This window comes from Homo sapiens, chromosome X (assembly GCF_000001405.40).
Source record: "Homo sapiens chromosome X, GRCh38.p14 Primary Assembly".
Lineage (NCBI taxonomy): Eukaryota > Metazoa > Chordata > Mammalia > Primates > Hominidae > Homo > Homo sapiens.
This window is the reverse complement of record NC_000023.11, coordinates 10,750,675-10,775,990: the sequence shown is the minus strand read 5'-3', so window position 1 is coordinate 10,775,990 and position 25,316 is coordinate 10,750,675. Positions and strand designations below refer to the sequence as shown.

The 25,316-nt window shown below is 39.0% G+C and overlaps 1 protein-coding gene across 1 annotated transcript in view, besides 1 other annotated feature; it reads left to right on the top strand.

Moving 5' to 3' along the window:
* The window catches only part of MID1 (midline 1), a 388,374-nt gene that overhangs the window by 57,693 nt on the left and 305,365 nt on the right, over window positions 1-25,316 (top strand). The gene's annotated exons all lie outside the window — the stretch shown is intronic.
* Window positions 6,609-6,658: a silencer, noted in NCBI's record as "silent region_20657". NCBI's record gives its function as "represses an Ori minimal core promoter by ATAC-STARR-seq in GM12878 lymphoblastoid cells {active_cell/tissue: GM12878}" and the evidence as "EXISTENCE:reporter gene assay evidence [ECO:0000049][PMID:35858748]".

Sequence of the window (25,316 nt, the reverse complement as noted above, 5' to 3'; positions counted from 1 at the left end):
CTATAGGAATTCAATCTCTTCTGTCCAACTGATGCTTGTAATTCATGGCTAAGTATTCAAAAGAGAACAGGCTCCCTCTGTTATCTACCTGGCAGGAGCTGTTTGTGTAGGAACCTGAGGTTTAAAAGCCTTTGAAACTATTACTGATTAAATTAGCAAAAGAAATGCCTTTGTCCCTGAGGTCACCTGGTTTTCAATCAATCTTAATATATATGCTGACATTCTTGGGTCTCATTACCCACAACAAAGAATCCATAAGATTGCTGATCTTCAGGAAGGCCAAGGCTAGCTTGTAGGGTCCCATTTATTACAATCCCTTGACAGGTGGAAAGAATCTTACAATACCTCTGTCTGATGCAGGGGCTTCATTAATGTCTGTGTTATTCTATTTTATAATGCTTAATGCTATGCTTCCATTATGAGGTTTCTCAATGTGATATCTGAAAACAAATAATGCATTCATGACTCAATTAATGAACATTGGATTTGACCAGTACATAAAAATACATGGATACCCACTGTTTCCTTTCCCCTCCTCTCTCCAATGCCAAGAAGCAGCTAAAACTCATCTGATTTGTTTGGTCTTTGGTGTCTAATGTGGAGCAGTGTCTAATGTGAGGTTTCTTGGCCCATCTTCCTCCTTCTTTCCAATCCACCTTGCCTTTCCCTTCCCACCCAATTAACTCTTCTTGCAGCCCAGTTAACTATAGACATTTGCTTCTCATATGCATCCTTTCCAATCACATTCTCTTCTTCATTCTTTTTCATTTCCAACTCCCTTCTGGTGACCTTTAATAAAAAACCTTTATTTGTGCACATTCTTGCTCCCTCTCCCCCTCCATCTCCCCTCCCCCTCCTCCCTCGCCCCTCCTTTATCCCTCCTCCCTCTTTTTCATTCTCCTCACTCCCATATTCATCCCCTGCTTTACTGCCCAATGCCATTCAGGATCTCCAAAAAACCCACTGATTATATAATTTGCTTCTTATTACAAAACAAAGCATTCTAGAACTGGAGAAAAACTTTAAGATTATCCACATCAAACAGAAGAGGAGTTAGAATCACTTTATCAAAGAAAATAAATGCTATTGAGATTTGAAGTGGACTTAGATATAATAAAAAGCCAAGAACGCCAATCTTGAAAACTCTTGAAAGTGCTTAGAAGCCCCCTTCAGAATTTGACGAAAGACTTTGACTACCTCCATATTTTCTTCTGATGAAAGCTGCTTTTCCTGGAGTACCAGAATTCAAGGTACATTAATTTTAGAAAGTATTCCTGATATATTTTATTTTGCTGTTTTTCACAATTTTGCTTTTTATTTTCTCACAGCAAAGGCTAATTTTATTGTTACTTGTAAGCTGGCTGTGAAGGAACTTTTTAAAATAATGATTTATAAAATATATATTAGGATATACTGCAGCACCTCTGTGTAGTGGCATGGGAATACAAGTGCCATATCAGTTTGGTTAGCATAATCAATACTTATTAGATATGAGTTATCTGTCAAGCATAGGGTTAGGGTCCTAGGTTTCTCTGTAAGAAGTTAGGTTAGAGTCCCAGACAAGCAGAAGCTGGGTTAGAGGTCTGGGCTTCTTTGTTAGAAAGGTACCTGCAGGACTGGAAGATTTTTCATGGCTGTTTCTTTTGAGTAGGAATTTACTTCCTGACTACCTGGGCTGAAAATTTTTTTCTGGCACTTTGTGAGGTCTCTCTGTTTTCTTTATCTGATCCTTCATCTCCCATAGGAGCTTCTCAATTGACTGAGCCCCCTTTCTTGAACCCCTGCTCACTATATGCTCCACCAACTCTGTCCACCTCCTTCTTGTTGGTACAATTTTGCTGAGGGTAATTTGGAACTTCAATAGCCTCTTTGGGAAACTTAAGATCTCCTCAAATTGGCACCTCTAAGACCTCTTCTTTCTTGTTACTTCTGTTCCTCCTTCTGAAGGAACTTTTAAGAGTGACTCTGAAACTCTTGAGCAAGTTTAGCTTAATTAGAACTTACATTTAAGCTTCCAAGATGGATCTTCCCAAAGACGAATGCTCATTTAGATATGGAGGTTCCAGAGTGTACATTAATAATCACTCTTGGAGTTCTGTATCTTCTTTATTATTTGCATTTCATGCAACATGTGTTCCCTGTTCCGACCAACAAACTTAAACCTCTACTCTTGGCCTGTATGTGAGCTGGACCTGCTTATGGCCTATATCAACTTGACTCTTCTTTTTTACTTATTTTTGCAGTGGACTAAGGTAGAAGCCGCATCCTTGATTTGACAAGAGGTTTCCAGTAAAGCAGAGCAGACTTAACTAATACATAACAAACAATACAACATAATTTACAAAACAAGATAAAATGTAACCAGGGGAAAAATCTAGTACTTAGGTTCAAAAAAAGATCAGCTGCACAACAGCAGAATCAGAGAAAGTTTGATTAACATCAGTTCTAGTGAAAAATATGTGGCAGTATCAGTGGAACGAAAGCTAAGATAAGACACATGTCACTTGGGAACCAAACAGGCGCTGCATTAACAGAATTATAGCACTAAAATGGAAAATACTAAATCTGCTCTTCTCTTCATTGGTCAGAACGCAATGGTTAAGGGAAGAGAGGTAAGAAATAGCCAGATTTGAAACACACAAACTCACACATGCACACACACATAATGGCTCTGTTAATTCATCAAAGGCAATACATAAATTTTCTGATTTATTTTTTAAATGGCATTTAGAGTGTTCCAAGGACTATTTAAACAGCTTTAACAGAACTATTCCACCTTAGTATCTGATAATAGGTTACATGTGCATTTCCTATACAATCTATTTAATAATTAATAAAGCACATTAAATACATTTAGAACTACATATTTCATTATCAATAATCATATCAGAATTACTTTTCAGTTTAAACTAAATTTTTAAAATATTTTAATGTACTTTCATTTACAGTTATCTTTCAGCATTTTTAGAAGTTTTAACCAATTTATTTTTTTAATCCTTCAAGTCCAATTTCATACTTATAGTTAATATATTTTAAAGATGAGCTACCACTCATTTAACCCTTCATATGTCCCTTCTGGCCTTCCAAACTCCCTTTTCACTACTTTATATGATTTTACCTCTCATGTCAAATCATTCAACATATCTCACCTACATATGTATTATACATATATATTTTTTATTTATACATATATGTACAGATATATAATCAAATCATATGATGGAATTGTTTTAGCAATTTGTTGCTTTTTGCTTTTGAATTTAAATTTAAATATTTAATATAAATTTTAACTCAATTGTTATTTAAATTCTTATTTATTTGATCTATTTTTGAATTTGTATTTAAAATTTTACTTGTACTTATTTAAGTTTAATTTAGTTTAATTTAATTTCTATTTAATTTTTTTTCATTTTTTAAAAATTTTTTATTTCCATGGGTTATTCAGGGAACAGGTGGTATTTAGTTACATGAGTAAGTTCTCAAGTGGTGGTTTGTGAGGTTTCAGTGCACCCATCACCCAAGCAGTATACCCTGCACCCAATTTGTAGTCTTTTATCCCTCACCCCCTTCCCACCCTTTCCCCCTGAGTCCCCAAAGTCCATTGTGTCATTCTTATGCTTTTTGATCCTCATAGCTTAGCTCCCATTTATGAGTGAGAGCATACAATGTTTGGTTTTCCATTCCTGAGTTACTTCACTTACAATAATGGTCTTCAATATCATCGAGGTTGCTGCAAATGCCATTAATTCACTCCTTTTTATGGCTGAGTAGTATTCCATCATATATATGATGAAATAGATATATATACACACACACATATATACATATATATACACACACACATATACACACACACCCCACACTTTATTTATCCACTACTTGATTGATGGCCATTTGGGTTGGTTCCACATTTTTGCAATTGCGAATTGTGCTGCTATAAACATGCGTGTGCAAGCATCTTTTTCGTATAATGACTTCTTTTCCTCTGGGTAGATACCCAGCAGTGGGATTGCTGGATCAAATGGTAGTTCTACTTTTAGTTCTTTAAGGAATCTCCATAGTGGTTGTATTATACATTCCCACCAGCAATTTTTATTCCATTTAAACATTTAAGTTTTAAAATTTTTGGATTGCTTAATATACTAGGAAATGACTAATAATCAATTAAAAATAGATAAATGTGGCCGGGCGCGGTGGCTCATGCCTGTAATCCCAGCACTTTGGGAGGCCCAGGCAGGCGGATCACCTGAGGTCAGGAGTTCAAGACCAGCCTGGCCAACATGCTGAAACCCGATCTCTACTAAAAATACAAAAAAAAAAAAAAAAAAAAAATTAGCCAGGCATGGTGTCAGGCGCCTGTAATCTCAGCTACTAGAGAGGCTGAGGCAGGAGAATTGCTTGAACCTGGGAGGTGGAGGTTGCAGTAAGCTGAGATTGCACCACTGCACTCCAGCCTGGGCGACAAGAATGAAACTCCATCAAAAAAAAAAAACATAGATAAATGTGAAAAAATAGAAAGCGTCGTTTAAAACCATCCAGACAGCAACAGAAGAAATTGAAAAAATCCTGTTACATATAAATACCAATTTGAGGGGATGCAAAAATAGTTTTCCATATGAGAAGTTTATACTTCTCTTTTGCCAGACTTTTAGCATTTTTAGGATTCTTCTGCCTACTCTTAATTTACCTTATTTTGAGAAACTATATATTAGTCACTAAAATACAACATTCCACTTAAAACAATTAAACCTACAATAGGTAGACTCAGTGAATTTGGCTTCTTGCAACATTTGCTTTTGTCCAATTGGCTTCCTTGCCTGAAAGCTAGGTAGAAATCCTACTCTAAGGCTTTCAAGTATAAAAAGAATCTTTTTTTTTTTTTTTTCTTGAGACAGAGTCTCTCTCTCACCCAGCTGGAGTGCAGTGGCTCGATCTCGGCTCACTGCAAGCTCCGCCTCCCGGGTTCACGCCATTCTCCTGCCTCAGCCTCCCGAGTAGCTGGGATTACAGGCGCCCGCCACCACGCCCGGCTAATTTTTTTGTATTTTTAGTAGAGACAGGGTTTCACCGTGTTAGCCAGGATGGTCTCGACCTCCTGACCTCGTGATCCACCCGCCTCAGCCTCCCAAAGTGCTGGGATTTACAGGCGTGAGCCACCGCACCCAGCCAAGTATAAAAAGAATCTTAAGGAAGATAGTTCTGAGCCACTTTCCACAATTTTAAGAACAGATAAAAATAAATAGCTAATTATAATAAAATGAAGAATTTAGAGGAGCTGTGCAGATTAATTTCCCTCATAAGGAACACGAATATGAGGCACATGATTGATGAAAGGGACATTTCTCCTGGGTCTTAAAACTAATGGACTACCTACGTAAACACTAGCCTGTGATGAGTTTAGTCAGAAAACTATAACATATTTTTCAATAGGTGATCTTCCAATGAATAGATAAACTTTTGCATGCCTTCTTAAGATGGTAAAATTAGTTCCCTGGTATATACACTGGACTCACCTTCTGCATTGCATCACCTCTCTGAGATTTGCCCAATTTGGGGTCCAAAGTGCAAATGACCTCAGTCCCCTCCCAGAACAAAGGACTCAACAACTTGGCATCCCTCTGAAACACAGAGTGAGGAGCCAGTGAGTGAAGCCATTGTGTGAAGCAGGTCCTCAAAGACTAATTCAATTTGAAGAAAGAAAATTAAAAACAGGATAGAGTGTTACATGAATGGGATCAACCTTAAGATCCTTCTTCATAAGCCAAATCTCACTGTTTTTAGTGTGTTCTCCACATTAATTCATGTAGCAGTGGCAACGTGCAGTTTGCAGTCTGAGGGAAGAGATGAGGGCGGACCCTGGCTGACATGTTGCCATAGAGATGACATTTGAGCTTCTTTGGAGTGGCGAATCTGATTAGTCAGTTCAGCGTTTCCCCTCATTTCACTTCATTACACAGGAAAAGAAACTCCTAAAAAGACTGTTTCATGTGTATTTGTATTTGATTAAAATATAAATATTTTTCCTGCCAATTCATGGAGGGAAATGGCAGGACAGTCAAAAGCTCAGCAGTATCATCTCAGCTAAGAGCTTACACAAAAATCCGTTTGCCCTGATGCCACAATGAATTGAAACATGAAACCAACAAGTAGAAACAAACAGCATACTTCATGCTAGAGTAGTCGTCACTCAATTATCCTTGCCTCCTTCTGTCCAGGCGGTATGAAGCCTCGGTGCAGGATTCAAAGTCTCCAGATATTTGCCTTGATTTGTTGGCCAGCTTTAGTTAATCTTTTTATTGAAAAGAACAGGAGTGGGAAAAGAAAATGAGGGAGTTAAACGTAATCTTTGTTTGCTTAGAAATGTGTTTGTTGATGGCCAAGCCAAATTGAAGGTATTTTTCAGTTCTTGTGTGCTTCTTTGAAGAAAAGAAAGAAAAAAATGGGTCCCAGTGGAAATGGGAAATGCTTTCTCATAGAAGGAGCTTTGCCATCTCTGTGTTTCCGAGGGCATACAACAGTCTCAAGGCACAGAGGAAAGAGTGAGGACAGAGCTTGCTTCTCCCATGTCTCCCATCTAATGCCTTTGTTTGGTGGCCCTGATTGAATAACACGTATTAGTAAACAGCCAGTAGATGGCACTATATGGTTTACTGCCACATAGAGAGCCTACTGGGCTTTTTTTTTTGTTTGGGGTTTTTTTGTTTTGTTTTTTGTTTTGTTTTAAGGCGGTAGGATAAAGAGGGTTTAGCTCTTATTTTCAGCTTACTAGCCTAAGAGCTATCTGACTATCAATTCTGGCTGTTATAAAGTGCCATCATGGGTTATTTGGATACATTTTCTAAATAGGCAGAGCAGGAAAGAAAAAAGTAAAGTAATATGCCTCTTTTAACAATTGCATGTCATGATATTGTGTAGCATAGTCTTGGTATCATTTTCAAGTTTTTGTAAACGATAGAAAATTAGACAAAAAAAGTAGATTCCACACTTTCATGTCCCCTCCTACATGTGTGCACACCCATTCACACATCACTGTTGGACAGTTCTCAGAAGTTTGTTGTCTCCATATACTTTGTTTTGTGGCACCCCATTACTCATTTGCTCAAACAGAAAAGGAATTCATGGAGGTTTGGAGCCGTTGTTATATAAAAACTGGCAAATATGGTGGAATATACCCTAAGAAACTAACAGAAGGGGAAGAATATATAAATAACCCTGCCGGAAATGTCCTCCAAAGTTTATGCCCTGGATGGAGAGTTAACACTGCCCCCAAGGACCAGTCCTGGCCATTTCACCACTGGGGAAAGTGTTCTTTCTCTAAAAGTGAGGAGGAGAGTGAGGGTCCTTTCAGAACTAATATTCTTGTATTCTGTTGAATGGTAACTGAGCCCCCATTGTTTTATCTGCCCAGAGCCATAAAGTCCTTTGTCCTAGAGGTAAATGAGGCATGCAGAGTTGGCTCCAGAAATCATGTGACTTTGGAACCAGTGACACAAGATGATAAGATAGGGACTGATTCTATATCCTCAGCATCCTACTGCACATTGAAAGTGACACGCCCTTCTGACACATCACCTTTGTTTAATGAGAACATTATTTCTTGATTGCCAAAAGACAAATTTAGCTGTTATTCATAATTTTTTAAATGTCTAAGACTGGCATTCTTATTTTCTTGTTCTTTTTTTTTATTTAGAAAGGGCTATTTACAGTTATATAGCCTTTAAATCTACATTAATTTATTATGATTATAAAATCAAGATTTTCCTCAAGCTTTTAAGTTCAACTTAAAAAAAAGTTTCATTTTTCTGCTTATATTAATAATACCAGTATCTTTTATATATAATAAAAACAACTCGTTTCACAGAGGGTTTTGATTAGAGTTAAATTTGAACTGAACAATTTAAATTCAAACAATTGCTCTCATTTATAAACTTAATTAGCAAAAATTCTTTATACATGTTAGTGTACATTTATAAAGTCAATATATTCAGTTTTCTGTTTAACCATTCAAGTATCTGTCTAGCTGGGCAAACGTACAACCCACACAAGCAAATTCTTTCTAGAAACGTAAACAACTTTTATAAATCTAATAAATACATTGATTTATTCAATAAATATGTATACTTAATTTCATTACTATTTAAACATTAAATATTTCAATTTATTACCATTAAAACTCTTAAATATTTAGATTTTGCCATTTAAACTTTTAAGTCTTCTAGCTTATTAAATGTTTTAAATATTCATACTTATTGAGAGAATTGAAAGGTCACTTAAAGAGTCCAGTATTATTTACCAAACAGTAAAATCCTGTTATATTTTTCAACTTACAATCACAAGCCTAAAATCAATTTCACATTTAAAATTGAAATCAAGGCCAGGCGCAGTGGCTCATGCCTGTAATCCCAGCACTTTGGGAGGCCGAGGCGGGTGGATCACGAGGTCACGAGATTGAGACCGTCCTGGCTAACATAGTGAAACCCCGTCTCTACTAAAAATACAAAAAATTAGCTGGGCGTGGTGGCGGGCACCTTTAGTCCCAGCTACTTGAGAGGTGAGGCAGGAGAATGGCATGAACCTGGGAGGCGGAGCTTGCAGTGAGCCAAGACCACACCACTGCACTCCAGCCTGGTGGAGCAAGACTCCATCTCAAAAAAGAAAGAAAGAAAGAAAGAAAGAAATCAAAAGGCTAATACATTTAATCATTTGACAAATATTTATTGACTGAATGAATATGCCCATTTTCTAATGAGCCAAAATCTCTTAAACATTAAAAATGTTTTCAATCACATACCCAGTTTGTCCCTATGATTACTAAATGTCTTTCTAAATTTAAAACAAAAGAGTTAGCCCTATGAAATTCATTTATTGCCTGCATTGAATTTCCATTACAGGCTGACTGAGGATGCTAACATGGAGCCTTATGGGTTAGATGCTTAGCCTAAAATGTGGGACATAGAGGCTGCTCTCACCCAGGTTGTGTGCCCTGAGCCCCAGAAGACATCTTCGTTTTAGCGTCACTGTGTCAACATGTGAGTCCAAATCCAATTATTTACCCAACTATTTTTCTTTTTTTTTTTTTTTTGAGGCAGGGTCTTGCTCTGTCACCCAGGCTGGAGTGCAGTGGCATGATCATGGCTCACTGTAGCCTTGACCTGCTGGGCTCAAGCAGTCCTCCCGCCTCAGCCTCCTGACTCAGGCACATGCTACCACACCCGGCTAAGTTTTATACTTTTTATGGAGACGAGGTTTCACCTTGTTGCCCAGGCTGGTCTCAAGTTCCTGGCCTCAAATGATCCTCCAACTTCTGCCTCCCAAAATGCTGGGATTACAGGTTAAAGCCACCATGTCCAGCCCTACCCAGTTCTTTAATCTGATTTGGGTTGAAATAAGTCAGCTTTCTTCTTATTGTGTTTTTGGCAAAATATTTTAAGAAATTTTGATTCTTCTCATCTGCCTCTAAATATAATTTGAAGTCATCCCATTGTATTCTGAAGAAATCTCAAGTCCTTGTTTGGTTTGGTTCTGTGTCTGCATGGAACATTCCCACATGACCACATCAGCCGGATCCTTGGATATGTTGCTCCTATAGGGAGGCTTGTGCTCTCCAGTTCACCATAGACCACCACCCCCAGCCCCACCCTCCAGGCCAGGCTTGGCGATTATCCTGTGCATTGTAGGTTGCAGGATCTGTAGTAGTCCCCTACATATCCTCTACCCACTAAATGATGGTAGCACACCCTCTCCAGTTGTGACAAAAATTTTGCTCCTGGTGAGCTTGAGATGACCAACTGTCTGCCCAAGACAGAGGCAGAGCCGATGGGGCCTTTGTGGCACGATTGTTGGTCTTTTTCTTATGTCCCATCAGTACCCTCAGGGCTGCACCCTGCCTGTCTCCCCTTGGGTGTTTGAGTGTATTCTCCCTGCTCAGACCCTAAGGCAAGAGGTTCTGTTTCTGAGATTTGAGCTTCATTTTGGTTTTGGTTCTTTCTTTCTTTCTTTCTTTCTTTCTTTCTTTCTTTCTTTCTTTCTTTCTTTCTTTCTTTCTTTCCTTTCCTTTCCTTTCCTTTCTTTCTTTCTTTCTTTTTCTTTCTTTCTTTTCTTTCTTTCTTTCTTTTTGTCTTTTAGCATCCATGATATTAGACAGCATACTTCCTAGATGAAAGAGTTTTGTGTCAGCTTTTAGCTTTTTATTAACAATTGTTACACAAATTCTGCTTTTAAAAACATCCGTTTATTTTCATATGGTATTGGGAAGTGAGCTTTTAAAAACAGTGATGTTTCTGCACATGCTTATTGTTCAAACCAGGACTCCAGTTTCACATGAATTTTTTGACTCACTCTTTACATTAACAGTGATAAACTAGAATTTTTAAAAAGCCCACATTGGCAACATTTTTGGCTATAATGGTTTAAAACCAAAAATAATAAAAATATGAGCAGTAAAAGAAAAGAGCCTTAAAAACTGTGAATACAGACAAGCTAAAAGATGAAAGGAAACCCCATGGCTTGATCAATCGCATGCTACATGATAAATCATTTCTTCTGGAAGACAGAAGGAACCTGCATTGTGCCTCACAAGAGGAATATACTGCAAAGTCTAGCTTTATCTCTGAATACCAGCCTTTGAAATTAAGTACAGATTAAATTACACCATAAAATCAATGTCACACTGTGAGATTGCTGAAACCCATCTTGGTAAATGAAACCTTTTTAATGATGAAAACCTGGAAAAAATTCATCTTGAGCTAGTTCACTCTGCAGAAGGCTTAATGCTATCATGGAGGTCTTCACAAGCCATTCTCCAACATCTGCACACCAAACTGGGCTCACACATGAATACTTCTTTAGCATGTCTGGGCAGCTGGGTGAGTGTGAACCTGGAGAGTGTGCGTTCCTTTCCCTAATATTTTTCTTATGGGCTGAGCATGTTAGTTAGCCAGTCTCCACAAGAGTGAACCACAGTAATTATTGGGTTTGTGTGAGAGCCTGTTAACATGATGAGGGCTAAATAAAAATGGTGTATGAGTATGCCTTCATTATAAGCTTTCAGAAGCCAAGGAGAGGTTCTACAGAAAAGTCCGTGGGAAAAATATATATTACCATTGATATTCCTGTTGATTACTATTTAGAAAGCAAAAAGTGTATTGTCCAATATGGTCACCAACAAAATAGGATGGCATAGCATGCAAATAGGTGGAAATACCATTACATGGGTGCCACATAGACCCAATGTTGACATATGTAGAAATAACAGAATGAAAGTCCTACAGAGAACAATTAGACAGAAATTAAATTAAACCAGCCTGCCAGGCAGAATTTGTGCTAAGAAATTCTGTTCTGTAAATGTTGAGAAACTTCAGACCATGAGGATAGATACAATAAATAAAATCTAACCTTTGATTATCATACACAGAGCTTTAAAAAAAATTCTAAGGTTTAAAAGATAAACCCAAGAGATATTTACATGAAATGTAAATATTATATTAGGAACATATTTGAACTTTAGTGTGGCTAATTTTATTTTAATATCATCATTATTTTTGTCTTAGAGTTTATTGTTTATACCAGCTGTCGGTGAATTATAGAAAACAGCCATGTAACTAGTCGTATGTAGAAACCTGAAACTGGATCCCTTCCTTACACCTTATATAAAAATTAGTTCAAGATGGATTAAAGACTTAAATGTAAGACGTAAAACCATAAAAACCCTAGAAGAAAACCTAGGCATTACCATTCAGGACATAGGCATGGGCAAGGACTTCATGTCTACAACACCAAAAGCAATGGCAACAAAAGCCAAAATTGACAAATGGGATCTTATTAAACTAAAGAGCTTCTGCACAGCAAAAGAAACTACCATCAGAGTGAACAGGCAACCTACAGAATGGGAGAAAATGTTTACAATCTACCCATCTGACGAAGGGCTAATATCCAGAATCTACAATGAACTCAAACAAGTTTACAAGAAAAAAACAAACAACCCCATCAACAAGTGGGTGAAGGATATGAACAGACACTTCTCAAAAGAAGACATTTATGCAGCCAAAAGACACATGAAAAAATGCTCATCATCACTGGCTATCAGAGAAACGCAAATCAAAACCACAATGAGATACCATCTCACACCAGTTAGAATGGCGATCATTCAAAAGTCAGGAAACAACAGGTGCTGGAGAGGATGTGGAGAAATAGGAACACTTTTACACTGTTGGTGGGACTGTCAACTAGTTCAACCATTGTGGAAGACAGTGTGGCGATTCCTCAAGGACCTAGGACTAGAGATACCATTTGACCCAGCCATCCCATCACTGGGTATATACCCAAAGGATTATAAATCATGCTGCTATAAAGACACATGCACACATATGTTTATTGCGGCACTATTCACAATAGCAAAGACTTGGAACCAACCCAAATGTTCATCAATGATAGACTGGATTAAGAAAATGTGGCACATATACACCGTGGAATACTACGCAGCCATAAGAAAGGATGAGTTCATGTCCTTTGTAGGGACATGGATGAAGCTGGAGACCATCATTCTGAGCAAACTATCACAAGGACAGAAAACCAAACACTGCATGTTCTCACTCATAGGTGGGAATCGAACAATGAGAACACTTGGACACAGGGTGGGGAACATCACACACCGGGGCCTGTTGTGGGGTGGGGGGAAGGGGGGAGGGATAGCATTGGGAGATATACCTAATGTTAGATGACGGGTTGATGGGTGCAGCACACTAACATGGCACATGTATACATATGTAACAAACCTGCACGTTGTGCACATGTACCCTAGAACTTAAAGTATAATAAAAATAAATAAATAAATAAAAAGGGCAAAAAAAAAAAAACCAGCCATGTAAATTTCTATACATATTGTCTATGGTTGCTTGCATGTTACAATGGAAGAGTTGCATATTTGGGATAGAGACCATGTGGCCCACAAAGCGGAAAATACGTACTATCTGACCGTTTTCAGAAAAAGTTTGCCCACTCTTGGCAAAATCATTTGACAAGCCTATCTAAACTAAGATCACTTCTGTGGCTACAACATAAAGGAAAGTAAACGTCTTGCTGTTGTCATTGCTTCCTACACAGTGGATCATGGGTTTAAATTAGGAAGCATCTCACTTATATCTGATACTTATTTGTGGGATTTTATGGAGGATAGGGGAGGGAAGAGAACATATTTAAGGAATACGTTTAGTGATCTGCTCTGCTTGATTTTCCTTCAAAAGAACTTTGTGTTTAGAGGCCAGGCACAGTGGCTCACACCTGTAATCCTAGCACTTTGGGAGGCCAAGGCGGGCGGATCGCTTGAGCTCAGGAGTTTGAGACCAGCCTGGGCAACATGGCAAAACCTTGTCTCTACAAAAAATACAAAAAATTAGCCAGGTGTAGTGGCATGTGCCTGTGGTCCCAACTACTTGGGGGGCTGAGGTGGGAGGATCACTTGAGCCCAGGAGGTTGAGGCTGCAGTGAGCCGATATTGGAAAAAAAAAAAACACACAACAACAACAACAAACTTTGTGTTTGTGTTTGGAAATGTGTCCATAAGATGGAAATGTGTCCATAAGATGAAACTTGTGTCCAGAGCAGTATAAATAGCTCAGTGGGTCTTTCCATTTTTGGTAAATCATCCTTTTGGACCCTGGGCAAAAAGAATGGTAGACTTTATACTTGAATTTTTCAGAAGGCAAGGAAAAGCGAAGAGTTATATAAGTAAAACCGGAAGAAAATGAGCAAAACATTAAAAGAAATAAAAGAAAAAGGAATACAAATAATGACCCAAGTATTAATAGACTTTCTCTCACAGATTGTACTGAATAAAAATAATAGCTAACATTTATTTGTTGTTCTGCCATATGCTGGGTAGATCACATACTTTATCCATGGATTCCTACCCTTCAAGGTAAATATTGTAATTATTGTTTTACAGATGTGCAAACATCGAAGTTCTGAAAGATAAGGGAATTTTCCCTCTCTATAAATATAGAGTCATCTGGCTCTGTAGTTAAAGCCAATCTATTTCTATTATGATTCTCCTAAGATTATACTGAGTAATATTAACGTATCATTATATCAAATTTAAAACTAAGCTAATGAAATGAACCACTACCAATCAATGCTGTAAACCAAACCCACCTGATGGCGACTTAATGCTGTATCAGTTACCTAATTCCCCATAACAAACTACCTTCATACATAGTGGCTTAGAAAAACTATCACTTATGTCTCCCAAGTCTACCAATCAACTGGGTGTTGGCTAACCTGGGCTTGGCATGGGGAGAGCTTTACTCTAAGTCCTTGTCATCCTCCTCTTTGTATGGACAGGCTAGCCCAGGCATGTCCTTCTTATGGCAATAGCAAATTTGAAAGAGAACAAGTGAAAACACATAAGACCTCTTGAAGCCTTGGTTTAGGATAGGTACACTGTCACTTCTGCTTCATTCCATGGGCCAAAACAAGTCATGTGACCAAGACAAGGAGCAAAGAAGTACACCCTGCCCACAGTGTACTGTGGCAAAGGGCTGAGATACAGGGAGAGGTGAAGGATTGGGGCCAATCTTCCAGCACTCCAGTGTACTTGGTCAGAGAACAAAACTTTATTGGTACCCAGTTGAATACTGCATCATTGATTAAATTTAAAAAGGCATAAACATTTGAGGAAAGCAGCATATTCTTCACCTATAGAAAATTCGTTAGTGCACAGATGTGTGTGTATGTGTGTGTGTGTGTGTGTGTAAAATGAAGGAGCTGAACATGGGATCTACATAGTTAGACTCTCTTAACAATTTACTTAAATGTATTATTAGCCTTACATTTTGGTAAAAGGAATCATCTCCTTGCTGTCTGTTGTTCTGAGTGAGAGATAATGGTTGATATCAGCTGTGTGATAAGATAATAACTTCCTGCTGTTCTAAGGCACTCATACAGTCATTAATAGAAAATAAAGTAATAGCATAGAAAATAACATGATAGCAAAGCTTAGACAATTCATTTCAAGGCGGGAGGTATGGATTGGTTTAAATATTCTATAGATTCTACCCAGCTGGAAGAGCAAGCAAGATAATTACGGACTTGTCACAGTGATTAACAGACACTATGGCAATGATGGGGTTTTTCCGTTTTGTTTTTGTCTTTGTTTTGTTTTGTTTTTAGAGGCAGGGTTTTGCTGTGTCGTTCAGGCTAGAGTGCAGTGACATGGTGTAATCATAGCTCACTGCAGCATGGAACTCCTAGGCTCAAGCAATCCTCCTGCCTCAGCCTCCTGAGTAACTGGAACTACAGGCAGGCACCATAACATCCAGCTAATTTTTTATTTTTGGTAGAGATGGGGTTTCCTTATGTTGCCCAGGCTGGTCTCAAACTCCTGGCCTCCAACTTCTGCCTCCCAAAGTGCTAGGATTACAGGCAAGAGCCACTGCACCCCGACCTTGTTTTGTTTTTTGAAGACAAAGACAACTCCATATTAATACTTCCCCTCGCAAGTTATACCTATGCAAAAGCATGTTTATGAGATGTTTGTGGGGACAGTATAAAAAGGAAATGTAAAATTTTCATTTTCTTTGCTATCTGAGACATATCCAAGAAAATAAAAGGCATTTTACAGTTTTGGCATAAAGAATGTAAGTGATATTACATTCTTATATCTTTAGAGAGAGGGGGATTCAATTAAGCAAACCAGCAGAAGAATGAAAAGAGAAACGTGAGCAGTATATGCAGTAACCATTGCAGAATTGGCACAATTGTAGATTTATAAAAGGCAGTGTGCTCTCTTACTTCCCCCCGAGTGCAAGCCTTCACCTGCCCTTGACTGACTATCCAGGACATTGTCAGGCACTGAGCATTGATCTATCACAGGTGTAATTTGTGATCGACTTGATGCAATGTGTTTAACTCCAAAATCAGATTGGTTGGAAAAAATGCTTCTCAGAACGGTATGAGGATTTCATCAACAAAGTTTATGTGTACCTGGAAGAGAGGCTTGTGCAAAGCTAGCAGCGACTATGCGAGAGAGTCCGCTAGGAGAAGATCAGTGTCCTCAGGAGTCAGCGGACAACTCCAACCCAGATTCCCATTTGGCCTCTTCTTGCCTAATGTATCAAGCAACTGAATTCACTCGCTTAGAAAATTTTTTGTATCTGTTTGTAAATTGTGCTTTACAAACCACACAGGCATTTCTTATGCTAGAGAACTTGAGTGCTGAATTGTCCCTGAAAAGAGGAGTTGAGAATGGGAACTTGTGCAAATGAAATGGGTGCAGATTCCTGTATGGGGCAGGCAACACAGTGATGTAAATGACAGAGGTGGCTAAGAAACAAATGGGGTTGGGGGAGTGGCGGAGGGTGGGGTCAGAGGAAGACCAGGGAGGCAGTGAAGAAACATCAGGGCACTCCCTCCCCGTCCCCTAGGGAGAGAGAAGTCACAGGCGCTCCAGGTGAGCAGAGGAAGAAGCATCCTGCTGAAAGTGGCATCACAAAGGGGAAGGAAGGAAGATTATCTCACCCGTCACTGGCATAGATCACCAGAAGCGTTTCTCATCTCACTTCACTTTGGGAACCAGATTTGTGCGCCTATGTGATCCTCTTTCCAACTCCTTCCCACTGCAAGAGAAAGTTCTGAAAATAATTAGAACCACTTGGCCCACTACCAAGAGGCCCCACATCAAAGTTGTGCCTCAGCCCTGCGTCGCCAGCATTTCCTCGGTCTCCTTCAAATGTGAAACTGTTATGCAAAATTGAGTAACAGCACTCGCTTAGGACTAAATGTCTTCAAAGTCTCATTCTATGGCAATATCTTATCACAAATCTCCAAAGTGAAATTACTAGCAAGATTGCATGAGTTCAGCTATACCTTCAGTGCGTAATAATAGCATACATGCGTGTTGTCAATGTCCATTGAAAAAGGAGTATTTTCTATTTGGGACCTCCTGATAAAGGAATTAGTGTTTTACAGGATAAAAGACTCAAAATAGGAAAGTTTACACTGTGGGAACATAATCATTTGCCTGCCGGTGAAAAAGCAATAAACTGTGTTCAGATTTTAAATTGTTTGCTTCATTTGCTTGTTAAATTGATATAATTTCTAATTTGTATTCTTTAAATTTTTGCAGCTTTTCTTGAAGCTTACAAACAAGACATAAAATCCCTTTTAGTTAAATTTGGAGGAGAGCAACACAGAAAAAGTACTATTTAAAGGCCGGGCGCGGTGGCTCAAGCCTGTAATCCCAGCACTTTGGGAGGCTGAGGTGGGCGGATCATGAGGTCAGGAGATCGAGACCATCTCTCTACTGGTGAAACCCCGTCTCTACTAAAAATACAAAAAAATTAGCTGGGCGTGGTGGCGGGCAACTGTAGTCCCAGCTACTGGGGAGGCTGAGGCAGGAGAATGGCATGAACCTGGGAGGCGGAGCTTGCAGTGAGCCAAGATCACGCCACTGCACTCCAGCCTGGGCGACAGAGCGAGACTCCGTCTCAAAAAAAAAAAAAAAAAAAAAAAAAGGAAAGAAAAGAAAGAAAAAGTACTGTTTAAAGACTGGTTTCAAGAAAACATGGAGTCATTTGGAGACCTGAAAAAACTCTTTGTCAGTGGCCTACAGATTCAGATGAGGGTAATAAGGAGAACAAATAAACCTATTTAGAACAAGGACACTTTCTATCTGTCTTGATAGACAAACTAGTTTTAATGCAAAATATAAAGTGAATTATGAGGCCAGGTGCAGTAGCTCACACCTGAAATCCCAGTACTTTGGGAGGCTGAGACGGGCAGATTGCTTGAGCTCAGGAGTTCCAGACGAGCCTGGGCAACATGGCAAAACCCCATCTCTACAAAAAATACAAAACAAAAAAAAAAAAAAGCAGGGCATGCTGGCATATGCCTGTAGTCCCAGCTGCTTGGGAGGCTGAGGTGGAAGGATAACTTGAGCCTGGGAAGTGGAGGCTGCAAAGCGGAGATCATGCCACTGCACTCCAGCCTGGGTGACAGAGTAAGACCCTGTCTCAAAAATAAATAAATAAATAAATAAATAAAGTGACTTATGAGACCAATTGATGTACATTAATATGGTTTAAAACCATTATTAGGATTAATAAAATTTTGAGTTGTCTTCAAATCTGTATTTAAATTATTAATTTTTTCTGGTACATATTGAGTTAGTAAAAATAGAAACCCCCCTTTATAAATAACTACGTTGTTCAGAATAGCACATGTAAGCAGAACATTTATTTCTTTATTTCGATAGAGTTCCATTTCCTGTTGAAAAGTAAAACCCAAGAAAAAGAACATCCAGCTTAAACTATGTAATACTTTAAAAAGTAAGAGTTCAGATGTAAAGTTTCAATAATGAAAAAGTTCTTTTCTAATGAGATAGTTTCAGAAATACTTAATTTAATCCAAAAAAAATGACTTTTAAAAATTCTCCACACTTCTTGGAACTGCATGCATAAACCTCAGCAATTGCAGCAAGTATTCATTTTAGTTTTCATTGATGAAACAACTTTTCAAAAGATGTTCCATCCCATTGATCTTGCACATGGAGATCATTTAAACCCCGCTTTGGAAAATTTTCCTAATGATGCTTGTCAATATTTTCCTGATGGCAATGCTAGAAATTTCACATTTTGCCACCACTTTCATCTGCAGGTGACAGATGCACACATCCATTATGTGGTCCAATAAAAGAGAATCATTTTCATCTGTCAACTCGGTAATCCAATTTCAGCAAACCTAAGCTGTGCTAGTGCAGTGTGTTGGATCCAAGTGTGATCCTTGCACTAGCAGCAGCACAACCTGGACACTTGTTAGAAATGCAGATTCTCAGGCCCCACCCAGATTTACTGAGTCAGGAATTCTGACGGGGTCAAACCCAACAATCTGTTTTGGCAAGCCCTCCAGCTGAGGCTGATGCCCAAGTTCAAGGACCACCATGCTAAGATGTCTGGGTGCATGCAGGGAGCAATGAAAATGCTATGGAGACTGAGACCTGGTGCTCCTGGTATTCATGTCATAGAGGTGATTTTAATTTGGGAGGTTTTCAAACATGGTGAGAGCACCTTCAATTTCTTAGGACAACAGAGAGGTAACATGGCAATGCAACTTGGGTCCAATGCCCGGGAAAGTGCTGGCAGCCTTTGCAAGTGAATTCTGCACACTTGTCATTTTTAGCTTATCTGGAAATCTATATATGCCACCTGAGCTTTCAGCCCACAACATAAAGGCCTGACTTTATATCTGATGAATCCCTCTTCTCTGCAAAACCTGTATGTTTTCTTCCAGGAGAGTACATTGCCACAAGTGTATGCTGCATTGTTTTTCATGTTCTTTCTCTGTGTGTTTGAGTGTGTGTCTATCTCCCCCTTCTGATGCATACATAAGTGACTGGACACGTAGCCTTGACCCGAGCTTGTGTGTGTGACTTCACATGGTAGGAATGTCTGTGAAGTGAGGGAGTTGGACTGGAGACTCCCAAAGGTCCTCCCTGCTTGGAAATGCTACAAGTCCACATGCCCTACACGATTGTACTTGTCTTTCTTTGTTCACTGTAATTTAGCATATTAATTAGATAAAATCAATTCAAATACTCCATTCGAAATGCTCTCAGAATTAAAAGCTCCTTATGAAATTGCCTACTTTGCTCCTAACATGCAATGTCTTTATTTCTAATTTCATTGCTCGCTTGTGTATGATTACATTACACTTATCAAATAGAGAAACTTATTTGAAAACACTTGCATAAATAAGTAGCATGGGATTTTTTTCTCCTTCCAAAGGAGCTTAATTTATATGGACTATAGAAATGCCCTGTCATAAGTGGCCGTATGCTATATGCTCTTAATTTTGCATGTCCATATGAAGCTGTATGTGTGCATATACAGAGAAATGTGATTATGTCCTGGATATCTTGTTCATTTCATTTCTTAAGGTGGTGTCATGTCACCAAGAAAATTAGTGATAGATTCACATCACAGAGTAGAATTCTATTCATTAGATATTTTTTGCAAAGTGCAGCTTCTTTTCTTGCTTCCTCATAAGTTGTGAGCATGTGGGCGGGCAAGCACAGGAAAGCATTTAGCAACAGAAAACAGAAGCAAACTGTCTCCTTTCCACCAGTTTCCCCACCTCAATTTTGTTCTCATATTTCTTTACTTCAGTGGGCCATCTCTGACATTCTAAACTTTCTGGAACTCTTTCTCAGTTCCCCGGGCTGTTCTTCATATGCCTCTGTTTCTCTGAAGGCTATAAAGAGATGTGCTCACAACAGGCTCCCAGGAGTCCATGGGGAAATTGTTGACATTCTTTCCCGCTGAACTAGGTTGGCTCGCTCCACATTTCTTAGTTCATTTGGAATTCCACAGCTGCCACCTGAGCTTTTATGCTGTCGATAACGACCCCTGGCTTGGGGGGTGGTGAGATTCTGTTTTAGTCATGCTGTAGTCTGCCTTTTACCAAATGTCTTTGCCATGAAGTAGGGGGTAAATCTGTTCTTTTTCTTATGCTTCTCGAGGAATGACAGATAACTCCCTTTGCTACATGAAAGCATCATCTGACATTTAATTTGTTTGGTTTTTACAATTCATTTTTCCATTCTCATTGCCAGGTTAGTTACTATCTCCCATCAGCAACTCTTGAACAACAACAAAAAAAAAATCTATATACGGGAAAATGAAAATGTTTCAATATTCTTCAGTTTTTCTACTTTTGTTACTGTTCTAGAGAGGGAGGTAGATTTTTGTTTTCTGCAATCTTCTCCGTGAATCACTTTTACTTCTCTATGTCTTAACAGGGGACATATTTGAATTTGGACTTTGCTTATTTTTCCAAAGCATCTCTGTTTAAATCATCAATCTACAAACAAACTTCAACCACAGTCCAACTTATAACTAGCTAAATAGGATTTACACTAACGTTTTCTTGCTTATCCCCTTATATCAATGTCACTGTAGGATTACTTTTTCAAACTTTTCCTGCAAGTTCTCTGGAGTTGGACTGTTGGTATGAGCAACAGCCTGGTAAAAATCACATATCTTAGAATCAAACTTATACGAAAACATATTTTAAGGGTAATATAAAACCCAACATTTTCATATGTTTAGTGACAACTTTGAATTTAGCTACCTAGCAAAACAATAAAAATAAGAATTATGTTTAATATATTTTGCAACTAAATAATTACTGTTTTTCAATAACGAGACTTTTCACTTGAGGTAATGTGAACTTTCCAAGGGAAATGTTCCCTAGACCCTAGACTGATCATGGAGATTGCAGGGCCATAGAAAATGGCCCTCTGGTCCCACACACCCGGCTAATCGCATCACCATCATACAGTGCACCTCGCTCACTCGGGAAATGAAAACAAGATAAAGCAGGAGGGAAGGCTTAATTGATCTCAGTCTCTCTCTGTTTGGGAAGTGTTTATTTTAAAAGATAAAATTTCATTTCAGGGGGTCTTACGAGATAAAATTCAAATAGAAAAATTGTCTTCATTGCTTCAACAGTTATGTTAAGGTTATTTACAACAGCATTTTTTTCCCATAAAATATAGCAGAGTACATTTTTCAGTGAGAAAAGCTAACATTTGAACCCACAACGTCTGAAGGTATTCTGTACGTTTTATCTCTGGTGGCAGCTGATGTACCAGCAGGCTGACAGATGACAAAAAAAACAAAAAACAAAAAACAAAAAAAAACTCTCTTGTCTATTCTTTTCTAATAAGACAATTCAGTGGAAATAAGAGAACTCACCTGATCCAAAAATGTCTTCAGTTCAACAATATCTCTCTTCAGGAATTCAGCACTCAGGCAAATATTTTATTTGCCCTCATAACAAAACAAAAACAAAAACCAAACCAACCACTCTGTTCTTCTGAACTTTTGCCAACTTAAATATCTCTTTCAAACCTTCTCTATCTGCTTATTCACATTAAGCTAGAACTACACCATTTGTACAGCTTTTCAGGAGATTTGTGACAGGTCTGAAAAGGATTTGAATTTTTTACTTGGACTTTTGACAACTCCCACTACAGAAGTTATTGTCCAGGTTATGTGGCTTAGTAGCCTAAAACTTCAAAGGGCTTCGCTTAGTCAAAATTACTTAAATACCCTATTTTATTATTTTTATAATTGTAGCTTTTAAAAAAGATTAATACCAATTTTCAACATGCTTTTAGCATCCAGTTTGCCACCTACCAATACATGCATCACTATTTTCTAGATGTGGATATTTTGGGGACACGATATAAAAATATTTTACAACTTTTTTGAATTTTCCCCAAAGTTCATTTTCAAACTCCAGGCAGAGAGAAATGTTTCCGAATTAGTCATTTTTAAAATTTTTTTGAGCAAGCCTATCTTTTCCCAACATTGCATTGCTTTTTATCCTGTGAGATTTTAAACACCTTTCATTTAAATGTTTTTTTTTTTGAAGTGTGCACTGGATGTGTCTAATGAACAGTCCTTGAAAACAGAATCACCTTATTTATAAATTCAATTCTCTTTCCATTCATATGAGGAACTTTATCCTTCCTCAGGGCATATATTTAATAACTATTAATGAAATCTGAAATTATATATGAGCACTGAGACCTGAATTTGCTACTCATTTTTTTTTTCCAGTGGAAATTTCATAAGGGTTTTGGCATGGGAACACAGCAGGCATTTAAGGCAGATGGAATAATATGGTTGGCCACAATGGCTCCGAAGGAATCATAACAGTTTATAATCAATAATTTGCTTACTAGGGAAGACAGTCTTTTCAGCCAAATCAGCACATAGCATACTGTTCATCCTCCCAGTTAGACAGCCGACTACTGCCACCGTTCTGCAAGCCTTTGATTCCCATGGATTTACATGTGCAAGCTGGGGGCTCAGTGCTCATTTGTTTTGTCTTTTAAGATTTCAGTTTCCACCCTCCCCTTTTCACATGTCTTATTCCAACTTCCCCTTAAAACTGCAGAAGCCATTTGAGCAAACAGGGCCACAGGGACCAGATTCAGCAGGCACCCTGCCTTCAGAAAGAGGCAGGACTTCCCGAGGAGGAGGGTCCATCTCAACTGGTTTTAGGCCAGAGACTAGACGGAAGGGGATTTGCACGACAGGTAGGGGAAGGGCCTTTAGAATTTCAGATGTGTTGTAACTGGGCAAGTTAATTTCAGATGTGTTATAACTTGAAATTAGAAAAGTCATTTCAAGAATTTTTTTAAGAGAAAACCATAGTAGGGTCAAGACTCTGAGAGATGAGGTAAGCAAGAGAGGTAGAAAAACCTGTCCTCACCTAATAGGCTACACTACAGAGCAACGTCACCCTTGAGTACCAGTTTCCATGCAGGGGATGGAGAAATCTGGAAAATAAGGAGGCCAAGAAAGAAGGTATCTAGGCAGTTGGCTTCCATGGGCTCTTGCAGGATTCTAGGCAAATAGGCTATTTGGGGCTATCTACCAGATTGACAATGCTTTATCTACCAGAAAGATGGCCCTGTATTTTCTCATTTAATCCTCTCAACAGTTCTGTGACACAGGTATTATGATTATCCCATTTTTTAGGTACCAATGTGAGGCACAGGAACTCTGGGTAACCTGCCTAAGGTGTCATAGCTTTTAAGAATTGAGTAGGATTCGAAGTAGGTAGACTGACACAAGAATTCGCATGCTTGCCCCCTGCACTATACTTCTTACCTTGGCTTCTTTGGAGTAAAGAAAACTATTTCCAAACTCTGCTGGTATGTGAAGCAAGTTTCCTTACAAGAGAAGCTCCCTGGCTTCCTATGACTTGAGGAGAGGAGTGGACACTGTGGAGAGGTGAGCATGTTAGTCTGTTTGCATTGCTCTAAAGGAATACCTGAGACTAGGTAATTTATAGGGAAAATAAATGTATTTAGGCTCACAGTTCTGCAGGCTGTACAGGAAGCATGGTGCCAGCATCTGCTTCCAGTGAGGGCCTGAGGAAGCTTACAGTCATGGTGGAAGAGGAAGGGAGAGCAGCCATGTCACATGGCAAGAGAGGGAGCAAGAGAGAGAAGGGGGAGGTCCCAGACTGTTTTAAACAACCAGATCTCATGTGAACTAACTGAGCAAGGAGTCACTTATCACCAAGGGGATAGTGCTAAGCCATTCTTGAGTGATCCACCCGCATGATCCACCTCCTACTGGGTTCCTCCAATATTGGGGGTCACATTTCGGCATGAGATTTGGAGGGGACAATATCTAAACCATATCAGTGGGTGTTTCTTCTGAAACCTTAAGAGGGGCCAAAGAGGGCAAATGCTGACAGTTGACCAAAAATGGGGCTTGAAATTTCCTTTTTATTTCAGACAATGAAGACCCTTTTGTGGTTTGGTTGATTGGTGTTGTTATTGTTGTTGACAAGGTCTCCTCCTCTGTCACCCAGGCTGTAGTGCAGTGGCATGATCTTAGCTCACTGAAGGCTCAACCTCTTGGGCTCAAGCGATCCTCCCATGTCAGCCTCCTGAGTAGCTGGGACCACAGGCATGCCCAGCTAATTTTTGTATTTTTTCATACAGACAGGGTTTTGTCATGTTGCCCAGGCTGGTCTTGAACTCCTGTGTGCAAGTGACCTGCCCACCTCGACCTCCCAAAGTGTTAGGATTACAGGCATGAGCCACCATGCCTGGCCAAGACCCTTGTTTTAAGAAATGTCTAAGTGAAACAGTGTACACTACATTGATATTTTTTATAATTTTCTTTTTTCTTTCTTTCTTTTTTTTTTGAGATGGAGTCTTGTTCTGTCACCCAGGCTGGAGTGCAGTGGTGCAATCTCGGCTCACTGCAATCTCCGCCTCCTGGGTTCAATTGATTCTCCCACCTCAGCCTCCCGAGTAGCTGGAATTACTGGGGTGCGCCAACACGCCCAGCTAGTTTTTGTATTTTTGGTAGAGACGGGGTTTTGCCATGTTGGCCAAGCTGGTTTCGAACTCCTGACCCCAAGTGATCCGCCTGTCTCAGCCTCCCAAAGTGCTGGGATTATAGGAATGAGCCACCAGAACCGGCCAGATATTTTTATAATTTTCTGATAAGATCACAACAACAGAATCAAGCACTATTGTGATACTGAGGACACAACCCTCTGCCCACCCCACATTCTAAATCGTTTTATTTTCCCCTCAACGTGTTCACAAATATGCTTCTAAATAAAGACTCACACCTCATCAGCTGTCTTGGATTACTCTAGTCAGGGCAACACCAAATGTAGGTCTATAACTTCAGATTTTCGTGGGTAGCAAGTCTGAAAATGGCCGTAGACTTGAGAATGTTACTAGATTACTCAGCAACCACATCCTGATATTGATGGCCGGGAAT